Here is a 16,685-nt window from a genome sequence, read left to right as displayed (position 1 = left end):
GGGAAACCCCGACACCACCCCGGCTGCAACTCAATCCCCCGGGCACTCCTGGCCCCCGCGCCAGCGGGCGGGGCTCCGACGGGATGGGAGGAGCCTCCAGGGTGGGCGGGTCAATCACTCCGCGGCGTTATCCGGGCTCCAGCGCCGCGGGATTCCGAGCGCCTCCACTGCTGGTCCGTTGGCCAGATCAACTCGCCGCGTGGGCCGGCCGTTCCCTGAGAGTCTGAGCGCTCGCCGCACCCCCTTCCGAGCTTCTATTGGCCGTAGCAGACGTCCGTCTGCCGCTATCTCCGCCCCAATACGGAAGCGGCCTAGTCCTCCGGCTCCGACAGCTGGGTGTCCAGGCCATGGGGCAGCCCTGGGCGGCTGGGAGCACGGACGGGGCGCCCGCGCAGCTGCCTCTCGTGCTCACCGCGCTGTGGGCCGCGGCCGTGGGCCTGGAGCTGGCTTACGTGCTGGTGCTCGGTCCCGGGCCGCCGCCGCTGGGACCCCTGGCCCGGGCCTTGCAGCTGGCGCTGGCCGCCTTCCAGCTGCTCAACCTGCTGGGCAACGTGGGGCTCTTCCTGCGCTCGGATCCCAGCATCCGTGGCGTGATGCTGGCCGGCCGCGGTCTGGGCCAGGGCTGGGCGTGAGTGGGGTGCGGGATCGGGCGGGGAGAAGTGGGAGCCTTGGACAGGGGGGAGGGGCCCCAAGACCTGAGATGTTAGAACCGGGTTACATTAGGATCCAGGTTGTTAGAATCAGACATTTTTTTAGAACCTGGGATGGAAGAGCTAGAATTGAGTGTTATTTATTTACTCGCAAATACTTATTGGGAGCCTACTAGGTGCAAGGTTTTGTTACAGGGACGAAGGGTACAATAGAACAAATTCCTGATTTGAGGGGGGTGCAGATGAGAAACTAGAGGAATAATAAGCAAATCATATAGAATGCTAGAAGGTGATAGTAGTTTGGAAACAAGAAGTAGAGCAGGGTAAAGGGGTTGCAAGTTTCAATATTAAATAGGTGGTTAGGCCGGGTGCGTTGGCTCACATCTGTAATCCCAGCACTTTGGGAGGCCGAGGCCGGCGGATCACTTAAGGTCAGAAGTTTACCAGCCTAGCCAACGTGGTGAAACCCCGTCTCTACTAAAAATATAAAAAAATTAGTCGGGCATGGCGGCACGTGCCTGTAATCTCAGCTACTGGGGAGGCTGAGGCAAGAGAATTGTTTGAACCTGGGAGGCGGAGGTTGCAGTGAGCCGAGATCGAGCCACTGCACTCCAGCCTGGGTGACAGAGCAAGACTCCCTCCGTCTCAAATAAATAAATACATAAATAAACAGGTGGTAAATTCTCATCACAAAAATATGAGTGTTTGAGGTAATGGCTATCCTAATTAGCTTGATTTATTCCAAGCTGTACTGATAAATCATAACATCACTTGGTATCCCATAAGTATATACAACTGGAATTTGTCAATTTATAATTAGAAAAAAAAATTACACCAGGTACAGGCTCTACACACACATTTTATGCCAGGCAGAGGCTTTTGCTGAGACTGAGGCTGTAGTGTGCTATGATCACACCTGTGAACAACCACTACACTCCAGCCTGGGTAATGTAGCGAGACTCTGTCCCTAAAAATTTTTTTTAATTAATTTTTAAAATAATATACATAAATGTGTGGTCAAGGTAGACCTCATAGAGAAGGAGGCATTTGAGCAAAAAACTTGGAGGGCGTGGGGGGCGGTTAGCCATGTGGGAATCTGAGGGAAAGGTGTTCCAGGCAGAGGTAACAAGTGGTGCAAAGGCTCTGAGGCAGTTGTGTACCCAGCATGTATGTTCCCAGAACAGCAAGAAGGCCAGTGTGGCTGGAGTGCAGTAAGAGAGGGGAAGAGATGTCACAGATAGAAGGATGTTGTAGGACACTGAAGGCTTTGCTTTTTACTAGAAATAAATTGGAGAACCACAGGAGGGTTTTAAGCAGAGGAGGGTCAGTTTGGTTGCTGGGGTGAGACCGTACGAGGTGGGGCAAAGGTGGAATCGGAGACCAGTCAAGAGGCTATTGCAGTAATCCAGAGAGTTCCTAGTGACCTGGACAAAGGGGTGACCGTGGAGGAAGGGAGGGATTTGCTGCTGGATGTCAGTGGCTTGAGAGAGGTCTCAGGACTGGGGATGTTAGGGCTGGAAGAGACCTCAGACCTGTAGTGCTAGAACTAGAAGGGCCTGGGACATCTTGTTTAGCCTGCATTTACTTGTAAAGAAATTGAGGCTTAGCCAGGGCAAATGGCTGTTGCCACTTCCGCAGGATGGGCTCTGGGGCAGCCCTGTGCACAATATGGGGCATCTGAGCTGCTGGGGGAACTGACGCTGTGGTTCCTTCCTGCAGTTACTGCTACCAATGCCAAAGCCAGGTGCCGCCACGCAGCGGACACTGCTCTGCCTGCCGCGTCTGCATCCTGCGTCGGGACCACCACTGCCGCCTGCTGGGCCGCTGCGTGGGCTTCGGCAACTACCGGCCCTTCCTGTGCCTGCTGCTTCATGCCGCCGGCGTCCTGCTCCACGTCTCTGTGCTGCTGGGCCCTGCACTGTCGGCCCTGCTGCGAGCCCACACGCCCCTCCACATGGCTGCCCTCCTCCTGCTTCCCTGGCTCATGTTGCTCACAGGTGGGGAGCCTGGGAGGCCTCTGCACAGAGGCAGGGGCCCTGGTATTGGGCTGGGGAGTACAGCCCATTCTGGTGGGAGACGGGCTTTCTGGCCTGGGGGACCCAGCCCCAGTGTCAGTGATGGCCAGTAAGGGCAGCTTGGTATTCACCCGGGGGTGCAGTATGGAAACTGGTGTGTTGAGACAAGTGCAGCGTTCTGGCTGGAGAATTGGGAGATTCCTGGAGTTGTTGAGAGAGGAGAAAGACTCGTGGGAGTCTCTGCATGGCGGGATGTGGAAGTGCATTCTAGGAGCATTTCTAAGTGAGAGAAGCAATAGGAACAAAGGCTTGGAGAGTGGGCAGGGAATTGTGAGAATTAAGGCCAGATTGGTAGGGGAGGCCTGGCTGGTGGGGTCCTGAGAACTGGTGTGAGGAGATGGCTCCTATTTGACTGGACAGTGGGGAGCCAGTGAAAGTGACAGGCAGGAGAAGGCCCAGTTATGGGAAGCTGGGGAGGGCAGACTTGGATCAGCAGGCTGCCTGAGATGCCATGTTCTAGACGACACATATGTTCCTCTTCCCCCATCTACAGATAGAAGCCTCGCTGGTCCTTTTTACTCTTTGTTCTCTACCCCCAGAATGCTTTGGCCTTTCTCGCCCCCATTCCTTCCTCCTGACCTTTCCATGGTTCCCTCTGTCACTTTGATCTGTGGTTGAGGAACCTCCCCGGCTACTCCGGGTAGTCACTGTGCCTCCTCATCCTATCCAAGCCCAGCTCTGTGCATGGACCCCACCTACAGCCCAGGGGAGGCCTCGGGAAGCGGCCCACTGGGGTTATCAGAATCTTCATCTGCCCACACCAGCTTCCCAATGGGTCCTCCTCTGCCTCCCTCCAGGAGTCCCGGCCCTTCAGCCGCACTGCCCTACCACCTTGTGGTCAACACTCACTCCCCTCAGTCACGGAAGACTCTGGCTCCAGTCACAGACTCTCTCTTCGCCCTGGGCCCTGTGGAAATCAAGGGTGTCTGGAAGTTTGCATGAACAGCCCCCTCAATGCCTGGATGGCTTAGCTCTTGGCCTCCTCCTTCATTTTTCCTTCCTTTCCCTCCTCCCATGTCCACACCCCAGTCCTGGTCAGAATCCAAAAATGAGTCACCCTCACAAACCACCCATCTTCCTCTTTCTGCTGCCCACCTCCTCTTCTCTCCGTCTTTTACTCCTCCACGCCCTGGCACCTGCTCCATGAGCCTGCAGGCTCGTGGCCCTCACCGCCCGTCTGTACCTTTCCACCTTCGCCACCGACGTCCAGCTCAGAGCTCATCCTTCTCACCATTCTCCTGCCAGCATCGCAAACTTCCTCCCTCATCTTCCTTCCACAGTGCTTTCCTGGCTTCTCTGTGTCTGCCTCTGGCTGCTGAGAGCCAGAGGCATTGGCAGTCTGTGGCAGGTTGATGCCATGCCATGTTCATGGCTGCTGACCTCAGCAGGCCCTCGGCTATGCCTGGCCTTCCCGTTTGCTTGTAAGCTTGCTACTCCCAGCAACAGCAGCTCAAACCTTCCCTGCTCTCCCACACTCCAAGCTCCAGCACTGAGAAAGTGAGACATCAGCTGGCACATCCCAAATTGTGCTGTCCTCAACTCCCCGAGCCCAGCTGACTGCCCCCAGCTTCTTGTATTTGGTGCCTACCTCCCTGCTTGGAGGCCTCAGGCTGTGGCATCTGCCTCTCCTGCAGGCCAGGCCTTCTCTGCCCTCCTGGTTTGCCACCTTGGACAAACCCTCCCTTGCCCTCATATCCTCCTCCAGCGCTTGCCCTGCTCTAAGCTTCCCAAGGGACTTGCCCAGGCTCATGGCTGCTCATTCCCTGCCTGCTCCAGCCTGGCTTCTGCCACCACCACTCACTCAGGGATCTGTCTCCACACACTCCAGGACCCTTTCTTGCTTTATGAGACCTTTTAGACTCATGACACTGCTGGCCCCCAGCCCCCGTGAAGCGTTCTCCGCCTGGCATCACCGATGGCTGGGACCTTGGTGCGTTCACCTTCCTTTGTGGTTGCCCTTTCTCATCTTTTATCTGATCCCCAAGAACCGATTTCCCCGTGCTCCTGTCTAGGTGCCATTCCCCCCTCACTCTACACACTTTGGCAGGTCTAGCTGCGCCCACAGTCTCAGGGTTGCCTTGCACCCCCTACTCGCAGAACTGTTTGTCCAGCCTGGGCTTCTCCCTGTGCTTGCAGACCTGCAGACCGTCCACCTGCTTGTCTCACAAGTGCCTCTGGCCTGCCTCAGGACCTTCAAACAGAATGGTTTTTTTTTTTTTTTTGAGATGGAGTTTTGCTCTTGTTGCCCAGGCTGGAGTGCAATAGCGCGATCTCGGCTCACCACAACCTCCGCCTTCCAGGTTCAAGTGATTCTCTTGCCTCAGCCTCCCGAGTAGCTGGGATTACAGGCATGCGCCACCACGCCCGACTAATTTTTTGTATTTTTAGTACAGACGGAGTTTCTCCATGTTGGCCAGGCTGGTCTGGAACTCCTGACCTCAGGTGATCCACCTGCCTCAGCCTCCTAAATTGCTGGGATTACAGGCATGAGCCACCACACCCGGCCCATTTTAACTATTTTAAAGTGTACAATTTAGTGGCTTTTAGTACATTCATGATGTAGTGCAACCATCACCACTGTCTAATTCCAGAACATTTTCATCCTAAAAAGAAACCCCGTACCCATTAGTGGTCCCTCCATGTTCCTCCCTAATCCCCTTAGCCCCTGGCAACCACTAATCTTTCTGTCTCTGTGGACTTGCCTATTCAGGATGTTTCACATAAGTGGGATGATAAACATGTGACCTTTGGTGCCTGGCTTCTCTCACTTAGAGTAACATTTCATGGCCTCTCGTAGTCCGTTAGTTCAGCAGGTACTTGTTGCTGACTGTGGGCCAAGATGGCACAGGATACTGGCTTTTCTGTGGCGGCACACATTAAGTAACTGAGAATGGCTTTTTTTTTTTTTCTCACTCTGTCACCCAGGCTGGAGTGCAATGGCGCAATCTTGGCTCACTGCAGCCTCCACCTCCCGGGTTCAAGCGATTATCCTGCCTCAGCCTCCTGAGTAGCTGGGATTACGGGCGTGCGCAACCACACCCGGTTAATTTTTGTATTTTTAGTAGAGACGGAGTTTCACCATGTTGGTCAGGCTGGTCTGGAACTCCTGACCTCGTGATCCACCCGCCTCGGCCTCCCAAAATACTGGGATTACAGGCACGAGCCATCGCGTCCGGCCTTTTTTTTTTTTTTTTTTTTGAGATGGGAGTCTCGCTATGTTGCCCATGCTGGAGTGCAGTGGCGTGATCTCAGCTCACTGCAACCTCTGCCTCCCAGGTTAAAGCGATTCTCCTGCCTGAGCCCCCCAGCCTCCTGAGTAGCTGGGATTACAGGCGCCTGCCACCACGTCTGGCTAATTTTTGTATTTTTTAGTAGAGACGGGGTTTTACCGTGTTGTCAAGGCTGGTCTCAAATTCCTGACCTCAGGTGATCTATCTGCTTCGCCCCCCCAAAGTGCTGGGATTACAGGTGTGAGCCACCGCATCCAGCCAAGAATGGCCTCTTTAATGTCTGTGAGCTCCCCAAGGGCAGAGACACCCTCTAGTGCCTGGCACCGCCTCCAGGGCTGAGGAGGTGCTCACCAAGTCTGTGATGCAGGAATGAAGCCGTATCCCAAGTAGGGGGCTGCGTCTGCCCAGTTTACCAGTGCGTTCTTGTCACCCAGCACGGGCTGGCCAGCGAGTATCGACACAGGGTTTGCTGAGCGGAGGAATGAGCCCTGCTTTGTGGTGGAGGGGAGCAGGTGGCAGGAAAGCCGGACCCCACTGCCCCTCCCTGACCCTCTCTGCTCTTTTATTGCAGGCAGAGTGTCTCTGGCACAGTTTGCCTTGGCCTTCGTGACGGACACGTGCGTGGCGGGTGCGCTGCTGTGCGGGGCTGGGCTGCTCTTCCATGGGATGCTGCTGCTGCGGGGCCAGACCACATGGGAGTGGGCTCGGGGCCAGCACTCCTATGACCTGGGTCCCTGCCACAACCTGCAGGCAGCCCTGGGGCCCCGCTGGGCCCTCGTCTGGCTCTGGCCCTTCCTGGCCTCCCCATTGCCTGGGGATGGGATCACCTTCCAGACCACAGCAGATGTGGGACACACAGCCTCCTGACTCCAGGAAGAGCCAGAGCTGTGCAGGGAGGAAGGGGTGAGAGGGGGGCCCCCACACCTAGACTCAGTAAGGAAGTCGGGTTGGACCTTAACATCTGCATTGGACAACTCCACCCCTTCCTTGGCCTTGCCCCTGCCCGCCTACACTCCTACGTGTCCAGGGCTTGGGCCGTGACTTAGGCAGAGGAGTGCAGAGGAGGGTCTGGCAGGGGCTGCTCAGGCCGCCTAGCTGCCCCTTTGCCAGGTTAATAAAGCACTGACTTGTTTCTCAGCCTCCCTCCATCTTTGCATAGTTTCTGGCCCCTCACTTTGTTGCTGGGGCTGTTTCTGGGACCCTCTGTAGGGCCTGGAAACTGCAGGATGCCTGAGGGTCTCAGGGGCTGGGGCTCTACCTCCCCTGGCCTGGGTGAGTTGGGGGTGGGGCACCAGCACGCCAAGGCAGTGTCCTACTGATCCAGGCTATGAGAATCCAAACATTCTTTCCCAGGTTTGGCATTTTATAGTTAGAAGCATTTCTGCAACAGCAGTTTCATGGAACCTCTCTTAGCTAACCTGGTCCATGGGGCAGCAGTTACGCTCTAAGAATCCATGTGGTAAGATCATGGTGCGGCAAATGGAGGCAGGGTCCAACCCAGGTCTTTGTGCTTTTGCCTTTACCCTTGCACAGCTGGAGGAAATGAGTAGGAAAGAAATCAAGGTAAAGAAATGCGCTGGGGCTGTTTGGGCATCTGTGGAGGGTGGTGCTGACAGGGCTAGGCCTGCACCTCTCTGGCCTCCTCAAGAGCTGCTTGTTAAATGTTTCCGTGTAAATAGAATGAATAGAGACCGCCATTTCCACATGGCAGGCCTAAACACATGTGTTCGTCTCAGTTTTCTCTTAGGATCTCTCTAAGATGATAGTAAAGAAAATCAAAAATAATACAAAGGGAAAGAAAACAGGAGGGAAGACAGTAGAACACAGAGCCTGACCACATTTTCTTTTTTCTCTCTGTTGCCGGGGCTGGAGTGCAGTGGCACGATCTCGGTTCACTGTAACCTCCACCTCCCGGGTTCAAGTGATTCGGCCTCCCGAGTTGCTGGGATTACAGACACCCGCCACTATGCCCGGCTGATTTTTTTTTTTTTCTTTTTTGAGACGGAGTTTTGCTCTTGTTGCTCAGGCAGGAGTGCAATGGCGTGATCTCGGCTCACTGCAACCTCCGCCTCCTGGGTTCAAGCGATTCTCCTGCCTCAGCCTCCCGAGTAGCTGGGATTACAGGTGCCCGCCACCATTCCTGGCTAATTTTTGTATTTTTAGTAGAGACGGGGGTTTCACCATGTTGGCCAGGCAGGTCTCAAACTCGTGACCTTGTGATCCGCCCGCCTTGGCCTCCCGAAGTGCTGGAATTACAGGTGTGAGCCATTGCGCCTGGCCATGCCCAGCTAATTTTTTTGTATTTTTAGTATAGACAGGGTTTCACCATGTTGGCCAGGCTGAACTTGAATTCCTGGCACCTGCCTCCACCTCCGTCTCCCAAAGTGCTAGGATTACAGGCGTGAGCTACCGTGCCTGGCTGACAATTTTTTATTATTTTATTTTATTTTATTTTATTTTATTTTATTTGAGACAGACTCTTGTTCTGTTGCCAGGCTGGAGTGCAGTGGCACGATCTCGGCTCACTGCAAGCTCCGCCTTCTGGGTTCACGCCATTCTCCTGCCTCAGCCTCTCAAGTAGCTGGGACTACAGGTGCCTGCCACCACGCCAAGCTAATTTTTTGTATTTTTAGTAGAGACGAGGTTTCACCGTGTTAGCCAGGATGGTCTCGATCTCCTGACCTTGTGATCCACCTGCCTCGGCCTCCCAAAGTGCTGGGATTACAGGTGTGAGCCACCACTCCTGGCCGGCCAGGATGGTCTTGATCTACTGACCTCGTGATCTGCCCGCCTTGGCCTCCCAAAGTGCTGGGATTACAGGTGTGAGCCACCGTGCCCGGCCGCCTGGCTGACATTTTCAAAGATGGAAAGTGGATGGAGAATTAAGAGCTGAAATTATGTGTTCCCAAAAGGTGGGGCCAAAAGGCAAGTGGAATTACCTGCCAGAGCCCCGGAGGGGCTCAGGAACTCCACCAGGACCATGGAGGGTGAGGTGAGGCTTCGGCCAACAATGGGGACCGATGGAAAGTCTATGTAAGGATCAGTGGGGTGCCGCTCCCCCACATCCCACCCACACCCCACCCACATCATGCAGCCAGCAGCTACACCTCTGGGTGGGGTGGTGTGACGTGAGGATTATTTGAAGGATAAATGGAACCAGAGAAGCTTCGGGTCTTAGGCGTACTGGGGAGGGGTGGGTGAGAGGCTAGACCAAAAAATGGGGTTAAGTGAAAGTCCATAGATACTGCTGGGGGGCCTCCCATGAAAGAACATGCTTGACCCCCAAGAACCTTCAGAGAAACCCACCCTCTGACAGGCTCTGCCCATGCCCACAAAGATCTGAGCTGCTTGGCTGGTTGTTTTTGTAACAGGCATGCTCTGTTGCTATTTTTTAATGACAGGAGGAACTTGGTGTACCTGGCACTTTGGGCTGCACAGACGCATTAGCAGACTCACCTTGTCCTGTTTCATCCCTCGCCCTCCACAATTTCTTATTTTCTTTCTTTCTCTTTTTATTTTTTGAGACAGAGTTTCACTCTTGTTACCCAGGCTGGAGTGCAATGATGCGATCTTGGTTCACCGAAACCTCCGCCTCCCGGGTTCAAGCGATTCTCCTGCTGCAGCCTCTCGGTAGCTGGGATTACAGGCATGTGCCACCATGCCCGGCTAATTGTTTTTGTATTTTTAGTAGAGACGGGGTTTCTCCATGTTGGTCAGGCTGGTCTGGAACTCCTGACCTCAGGTGATCCACCTGCCTCGGCCTCCCAAAGTGCCGGGATTACAGGTATGAGCCACTGCGCCCAGCCCACAATATCTTATTTTCATGTTTTTTTGTGTGTTTTGTTTTATTTTTCGAGATGGAGTCTCTCTGTTGCCCAAGCTGGAGTGCAATGGCGCGATCTTGGCTCACTTCCTGGGTTCAAGCGATTCTCCTGCCTTAGCCTCCCAAGTAACTGGGATTGCAGGCACCCACCATCATGCCCTGCTAAATTTTGTACTTTTGTAGAGATGGAGTTTCACCATGTTGGTCAGGCTGGTCTTGAACTGCTGACCTCAGGTGATCTGCCCACCTTGGCCTCCCAAAGTGCTGGGATTACAGGTGTGAGCCACCATGCCTGGACTCGTTGTTGTTGTTGTTTTTAATTAGTGAGGAGCTACAAGAACACATTTATAAAAATTAAGAGGAAACAGCCCCACTGCATTTGAGAAGGTTACCATTTCCTTCGAAGTTCCTGCTGTTGCCCCTTCCTGGTGGGGGAGACACTGTCCTGTTTCAGTCATTCCGTTGCTTTGCTTTATAGTTTTATTAATGTGTTTGTGTTGGCTTTGCATGTTTTCAAATATATGAATGAAATCATGCAGAGTTTATTCTTTTACAGTTTGCCTTTTCACTTGATTATGTTCCTGAGATGTATCCGGATTATTGTGTGTAGCTGTATGGCATTCCTTTTCCCTGCTGCCTAGTGATCCATTGAAAATACAATAATTGATTTTTCTATGTGGTTCCACTGGTCATTTTTCTGCCCCTGTGCCCTTTGGGAATCATCTCCTAAACTCTAGTCTCGGCCCTTGCTCTTCCATGTAACCTTGAGAATCAGCTTGTCAAATTCCCCCCAAAAACCCCTTGAGATGTAGAATGGAACCCAGCTGAATCTATAGATCAGTCTGGATAAAATCAGCACCTGTGTAAAATTGAATTTTCCCATTCATGAGCAGGGTTTATTTCTGCACTCAATGTTTTCAATAAAGTTGTGTACCTTTTCCCATAAAGATCATGCCTTTTTAAATTGGATTAATTCTTAAGTATCTGATATCGTATGCTATTATACATGCACTATCAAAATAGACTGTGAGCCTGGGCAACATAGTGAGACCCTGTCTCTGCAAAATACAAAATTAATGGGGGCTGGGCACTGTAATCCCACACTTTGGGAGGCTGAGGCGGGAGGATCACTTGAGGCCTGGCGTTTGAGACAAGCCTGGACAACATAGTGAGACCCTGTGTCTTAAAAAAAAAAAAAAAGCCTTGTGTGGTAGTGCGTCTGTAGTGTGGGGGATGGGGGTGGGCTGAGGTGGGACGATGGCTTGAGCTCAGCAGGTCGAGGCTGCAGTGAGCTGTGACCGTGCTTCTGCACTCCAGCCTGGGTGACAAGAGCTAGACTCTGTCTCAAAAAAACTAAAACAAAAACAAAAGTTGTGTCCAGGCCAGGTGTGGTGGCTCATGCCTGTAATCCCAGCACTTTGGGAGGCTGAGGCAGGCGGATCACCTGAGGTCAGGAATTCAAGGCCAGCTTGGCCAACATGGTAAAACCCTGTCTCTACTAAAAATACAAAAATTAGCCAGGTGCAGTGGTGCATGCCTGTAATCCCAGCTACTCGGGAGTCTGATGGAGGAGAATCACTTGAGCCCGGGAGGCAGAGGTTGCAGTGAGCCGAGATCACGCCAGCACACTCTAGCAGATCACGAGGTGAGGAGATCGAGACCATTCTGGCTAACACGGTGAAACGCTGTTTCTACTAAAAATACGAAAAATTAGCCGGGCATGGTGGCAGGCGCCTGTAGTCCCAGCTACTCGGGAGGCTGAGGCAAGAGAATGGTGTGAACCTGGGAGGTGATGCTTGCAGCGAGCCGAGACCGCGCCACTGCACTCCAGCCTGGGCGACACAGTGAGACTCCGTCTCAAAAAACAAATAATAAAATAAAATAAAATAAAATAAATGAAAAAAATCTTTAAAAACTCTAATGACTTTATTTTTTTTGGTAGGGACAGGGTCTCACCATGTTGCACAGGCTGGTCTCCAGCTTATGGGTTCAAGCGATCCTCCTGCCTTGGCTTCTCAAAGGGCTGGGATTACAAGTGTGAACCACTATACCCGGCCTCTAGTGACTTTTTTTTTTTTCTTTTCTTTTGAGACAGAGTTTCGCTTTTTTTTTTTTTTTTTTTTTTTTTTGAGACAGAGTTTCGCTCTTGCCCAGGCTAGAGTGGTGTAGTGGCGCGATCTTGGCTCACTACAACCTCCACCTTCCTGTTTCAAGCAATTCTCCTGCCTCAGCCTTCCAAGTAGCTGGGATTACACGCGCCTGCCACCATGCCTGGCTAGTTTTTGTATTTTTAGTAGAGATGGGGTTTCACCATGTTGGCCAGGCTGGTCTCGAACTCCTGGCCTTGTGATCTGCCTGCCTCGGCCTCCCAAAGTGCTGGGATTACACGTGTGAGCTACCACGCCCAGCCAGTTTCGCTCGTTTTGCCCAGGCTGGAGTGCAGTGGCACAATCTCAGCTCACTGCAACCTCCGCCTCCCGGGTTCAAGCGATTCTCCTGCCTCAGCCTCCCAAGTAGCTGGAACTACAGGTGTCTGCCACCACGCCTGGCTAATTTTTGTATTTTTAGTAGAGACAGGGTTTCACCATGTTGGCCGGGCTGGTCTCAAACTCCTGACCTCAGGTGGTCCGCCTGCCCCGGCCTCCCAAAGTGCTGGGATTACAGGCGTGAGCCACAGTGCCCAGCCTTCTGGCCATGACTTTTTAAAGAAGATATTTGAGGATATGTTTCACCAAATGAGGGTGAACTGAGAAATAGGAAGCCATCAGGCCCAGGAATCAGGATCTAGCCCAGGAGAGAGGCAAAGGCAATTTACCTGGAAAACAAACAGTCCTCAGTGAAGCAGGGGATGAAGGGAAGTGTCTAGAAAAAAGAGGAGCTGTCAGATGGTGGGGGAAGAATTAGCAATCAGTCCATCAGAAAACAAAGTAAATGAGAAACTCAGGGCAACTCATTAACTCCATTAAAAAGAAAGTACAAGGAAGGTAATTTAATTATAGTCCAACTCTTGGCTCCGCAGTTAACTTTCACATAGTAATAGAAATAGTAATCTGAGTATTTTTTAACCTAATAACTAGGGATGGGGGAGGGTTGCTGACAAAAGAGAGCTAAAGCCTCATGTATGACAACAGGGAGTCAACAGGTAATGTCTAAGATTGATATATCAAGCAAGAGTCATATAAGCACATTTTAAAAATAGCTGAATGAACTGGAAGTGACTGCTGGGTAGGGGAGCAGTACTAGAGAATGGGAGAGACTGTTTTCTTGTTACAAACTGTGTAATTCCACATTAGTAAGTGGGTATGTGTTTTTAAATAAGTATGTTTTAGAAAGACACCAATTCTCCTTGTCCTTAATGTTCACAATTTCTCTCTAGTGTGTGCACTGGGCACCCTGCACTGTTTCTTGCTTCATGTTGCTTTATGAACACTTACTGTCCTCATGGCACGGTTCATGTATTTCTTAGTGGTAGGTACATAATATTACATTATATAAACTTACATCAGGTGCTGGGCATATGTCTCCCATTTCATCCTCAGAAATAGCTATGACAAGAAAGGCCCCGCCTTTCCTGCTAATTCTCACGATGTGACCACTGCCCTGGGAACTTCCCACCCACATGACTGATTTGGGCTCCAGGATGTAGAAGGGCATCTATATGGGCAGTTCTGGACTTCTGCCTCCCGTGGCACTTCTCTGGAGCCCCAGAAACGCCTCTCCTGGTGCGCCTGGCCCTGGCTCTGCTCTGTCACACTCTGCCTTCCTCTCCTGGGCTTGCTTTCTGGGCATGAGCATCCCTGTCAGGAGCAGCTGCTGTGTGATCTTTAGGAGCTCTAGTGGGGCTGGAGCCACCAGCTCCCTGCGGGGCACCCTCTGCCTCCTGCACCCCCTTCTCCCTGAACAACCTTTGTGTGGCATCGTAGGCCTAAGACTGGCTAAGTCTAAGATTTCAGAGAAGTTTCCTGGGGAGAGGAGGGCTATTCCCTGGGTTTGCTCAGCTGACAAGGAGAGAGGAGAGCACGTATTTTGCCCGCAAGCTGAGTGGGCTGCAGCCCAGCCTCCGGAACTCCAGGGAGCAACAGGAGGCTCAATCTCACCCAAGAAGAGCTTCTGATTTCCCTGGCCAGGACTAGCCCAATTTTGGCCTTGGCCTGCAGCAGGAGATGAGTGATGTGCATGAGGGACGTGGCAGTGGAGAAAGGCTGGGCCTGTCCTGCTCAGCTCACTTTGACCGCTTCGGAGCTCTGATCTGAGCCCAGTATGGTTTCTGGAAAAGGCTGGGGAGGGGAGGGCGTAGTAGGACTTCAGTGGGACCATGCTGGGTTGGTGCTGTGGGAGGAGTTGAGCCGCCCTAGGTACTCACTAACCTGCTACTATAGGCCCAACAGTGGGGGTGGTGAGGAAGCGGGTGCTTAAGAGAGGGGAGACGAGCTGTCGCCCCAGCACACTGCTGCATGAGGAGTGGGCCTGGGGCCACTAAACCCGCCCAGTTCTCCCTGGCTGATTGTGCAGGGGCTTTCACAGCAGCTCAGGTCTCAGGCGGCCGCCAGCCCCTCGCTCCCAGGCATGTTGACGTGGGCACTCAGCAGGGGTGCACTTTGGCCTTCTCGAAGCACCAGCACCTATGGAGGAGTGGCCATGGCAGCAGGGGGCATACACCCCTGACCCCTTGCCTGGTCTGCGCTGGCCCTAATGACAGGCCACAGGGCTCCACTGTGCAGATACCCCCACCCCCACCCAGGAGCCCCCTAAGGTCTTTGTTGGCACTCACCCTTACTGTCCTCCCCAGGGTCCTGCTCACCTTCCACGTGGTACAAGTGCGGGGCCTACCTTGATGATGTCTGAGATGCCCTTGTTACTGAGACTCTCCACAAAGGTCTCCAGGGGGTAGTTGAGCCCTGGCACCAGCAAGGGTACCTAAGTTTGGGGACAAAGAAGTAAGGAAACCAGCCCTCGTGCCAGTGTTTGGCATATTCCAGTGCATTCAGGCCCGCAGTCTCCACTGAGCCTCAGCACCCCTGCAGGGTGGGCAGGACAACTGCTGGGTGGAGGAGGATGCAGGTGTGGTGGGGAAGTGAATGGCCCAGGGCCTCATGGTGAGTGATGAAACCTAGACCTCTGGACTCCCACCAAGTCTGGGGCTGTTTATTGCATATTCCAGCCTTTTGCATTTTCTGGTCCTCCCAACTTGGGGTCAGACCTGGGCCCTGGGGGAAAACCAGGCCCTTCACACTCTGGGGTCCCCCAGACCCTTCTGGGAGGTGTAGGTGGGGTTCAGGCTCTAGCAGTTTTCCCAGCACCTTCTGTATGGCTCGTGGAGACCCCTCACAGGCTGCAAGAAAAGCAGCAGAGGCAGGGCTTGGGGCTCCCTCCAGAGGCCCCTACTGGGGCCTTGGCCTGGTCTGTGGTGGGAGAGTAGGTCTGCTGGCCACCTGGCAGCCACCCGCACGCTCTGACCCTGACCTGGCGGGGCTCTGTGGGCATCTCATCAGGCCCCTGCCCTGGCCTTTCCCACTCCATATCTAAGTGAGGAGCATCCAGTACCTTGAAGAAGGCCCGGGGCAGGGAATAGAGCGCCTCGTTGTACAGGAAGCAGACCAGCAGCCCCAGGACAGGACGGGTTGTTGAGGTGTTCTGCAGGTGAAGTGTGAGCTTAAAGGTGGGGCCAAGGCCCTGAACCTATGGAGAGGGTGGGTGGAGAAAGCCCTTAGGACCTGGCAGCCTTGGGCACGGAGTACAGTGTGCTCTGCCTGCCTTCCACCAATGCCCTCATGTCCCCTCCTCCTACTCAATCTGCCTCCCAGCAGACACAGAAGACCAGAAGGGGCAGAGGGATCAGAAGAGGCCAGAGAGGGCAAGAGCCTGAGGGAGGCCAGGCAGCAAGTCAGAGGCAGAGCTGGCCTGGGACTGCAGGCCCCGACTCTCACCTGAGCCCCTCACCCCCACCCCCTGCCTGTTCCACCTCCCACTCTCATCCTAGGGTAGCTTGATCAGTTCATTTTTCTCCTGCTTCCCCAGAGTTGCCTTGTAGCCTCTTCCTCCTCTGCATCTATCCACTCTTTAGGAAAAGAGAACTCAGAACCTGGTTGGGTCAGATGCCACACCTCAGGGACGCATTTAGGGCTGGTCCGAGCCCTGCTGACCCTAAGCTCATTTGCGTCTGAGCCTTGCGGGGTTCCTCCTTTTGCCCGTGCTGGTCTCGGTGCTTGCGGGTGAGGCCGGGATGGCCCCTTCCCTGTACCCAGCAGTCCTAACACGTTGGGCTGCCCACAGTTACCAAAGTGACAGCCTTCTTCCTTGTACCATAGCTGTAAGGATCCCTTCAGGTTCTTGGGAAGAAATGTCCTAATATGACTATTCTGGGGGCCTATCTGAGCTGGAGAGTGTCCCACGGCATGGCCAGCCGAGGGGAGAGGTGGCACAGGAGGGTGGGAAGGTGAGGGCTGCTCTCACAAAGGAGGACATGAGACTCGGTCCCCAGGTCTGCGGGAAGGTGATGGGGAGCACGGGCTGAGTTGGCTTGGAATTGGCTCTGGGGCTTAGCTGTGTGGCAGAGGGGTTCCTGCGCATCCTGGCCTCTGCCCCTCTGGCCCTGACTCTGCCCTCACCCAGATGCTCACCACGGCGTGCAGCTTGAGTGGCTCTCGGGCTGTCGTGGACAGGGGGCTCAGGCTGGACTCGAGGGCCTGCAGGTAGGCGCGGGCAGCACGTAGGCGCAGCAGGTATAGGTCTGTCTGGAAGGCCCGGTGCATGGCTGTGGAGAAGGGTCCCAGAGGCTGACGGTGGAGGTGGGGGGTGGCAGGGAGGAGGCAGCAACGGGGCACTCCTGCTCAGGTTGGTGTGGGGAGGGTGCAAGAGGAGGGTGCTGCAGGAGGAGTCTGCAGGAGCTGGGGAGGAGGGAAAGAGC

General features: G+C 53.8%; 2 protein-coding genes across 11 annotated transcripts in view, besides 6 other annotated features; one reads left to right on the top strand and one right to left on the bottom strand.

The window, feature by feature from the left end:
* Positions 1 to 130: a silencer, noted in NCBI's record as "silent region_3597". NCBI's record gives its function as "represses an Ori minimal core promoter by ATAC-STARR-seq in GM12878 lymphoblastoid cells {active_cell/tissue: GM12878}" and the evidence as "EXISTENCE:reporter gene assay evidence [ECO:0000049][PMID:35858748]".
* The window catches only part of ZDHHC24 (zDHHC palmitoyltransferase 24), a 25,424-nt gene continuing 9,041 nt past the window's right edge, over positions 303 to 16,685 (top strand). For 8 of the 10 annotated variants that reach the window (XR_007062470.1, XR_949860.4, XR_007062471.1 and 5 more), the window contains exons 1-2: positions 303 to 628; positions 2,370 to 2,647. Coding sequence is in view for 7 of the 10 variants with exons in the window: in NM_001348571.2 (NP_001335500.1) it covers positions 348 to 628; positions 2,370 to 2,647 (559 nt within the window). In the remaining 3 variants the exon portion in view is untranslated. Of the gene's footprint in view, positions 629 to 2,369; positions 2,648 to 3,218; positions 5,690 to 6,526; positions 10,726 to 16,685 lie in introns of those variants that run through there. The other 2 variants (NM_207340.3, XM_011544893.4) reach the window with 2 other exon arrangements.
* Positions 311 to 550: a silencer, noted in NCBI's record as "silent region_3596". NCBI's record gives its function as "represses an Ori minimal core promoter by ATAC-STARR-seq in GM12878 lymphoblastoid cells {active_cell/tissue: GM12878}" and the evidence as "EXISTENCE:reporter gene assay evidence [ECO:0000049][PMID:35858748]".
* Positions 1,029 to 1,138: an enhancer, noted in NCBI's record as "active region_5047". NCBI's record gives its function as "activates an Ori minimal core promoter by ATAC-STARR-seq in GM12878 lymphoblastoid cells {active_cell/tissue: GM12878}" and the evidence as "EXISTENCE:reporter gene assay evidence [ECO:0000049][PMID:35858748]".
* Positions 5,981 to 6,751: an enhancer, noted in NCBI's record as "H3K27ac-H3K4me1 hESC enhancer chr11:66307071-66307841 (GRCh37/hg19 assembly coordinates)". NCBI's record gives its function as "activates a minimal SCP1, AML or CMV promoter by ChIP-STARR-seq in primed H9 embryonic stem cells {active_cell/tissue: H9 hESC(primed)}" and the evidence as "EXISTENCE:reporter gene assay evidence [ECO:0000049][PMID:30033119]".
* The window catches only part of BBS1 (Bardet-Biedl syndrome 1), a 22,964-nt gene continuing 19,031 nt past the window's right edge, over positions 12,753 to 16,685 (bottom strand). Inside the window, exons 14-17 of the mRNA NM_024649.5 lie at positions 16,399 to 16,532; positions 15,323 to 15,457; positions 14,609 to 14,695; positions 12,753 to 14,400 (exon numbers count right to left, since the gene is read on the bottom strand). Of these exons, the coding sequence (NP_078925.3) occupies positions 14,314 to 14,400; positions 14,609 to 14,695; positions 15,323 to 15,457; positions 16,399 to 16,532 (443 nt within the window). The 3' untranslated portion in view covers positions 12,753 to 14,313. The remainder of the gene's footprint in view (positions 14,401 to 14,608; positions 14,696 to 15,322; positions 15,458 to 16,398; positions 16,533 to 16,685) is intronic.
* Positions 14,398 to 14,975: an enhancer, noted in NCBI's record as "H3K4me1 hESC enhancer chr11:66298847-66299424 (GRCh37/hg19 assembly coordinates)". NCBI's record gives its function as "activates a minimal SCP1, AML or CMV promoter by ChIP-STARR-seq in primed H9 embryonic stem cells {active_cell/tissue: H9 hESC(primed)}" and the evidence as "EXISTENCE:reporter gene assay evidence [ECO:0000049][PMID:30033119]".
* Positions 14,976 to 15,555: an enhancer, noted in NCBI's record as "H3K4me1 hESC enhancer chr11:66298267-66298846 (GRCh37/hg19 assembly coordinates)". NCBI's record gives its function as "activates a minimal SCP1, AML or CMV promoter by ChIP-STARR-seq in primed H9 embryonic stem cells {active_cell/tissue: H9 hESC(primed)}" and the evidence as "EXISTENCE:reporter gene assay evidence [ECO:0000049][PMID:30033119]".

Source organism: Homo sapiens, chromosome 11 (genome assembly GCF_000001405.40).
Source record: "Homo sapiens chromosome 11, GRCh38.p14 Primary Assembly".
In the NCBI taxonomy this organism is placed as follows: domain Eukaryota; kingdom Metazoa; phylum Chordata; class Mammalia; order Primates; family Hominidae; genus Homo; species Homo sapiens.
Note: the sequence above shows the minus strand (reverse complement) of the source record. Positions and strands in the feature narration are given on the sequence as shown.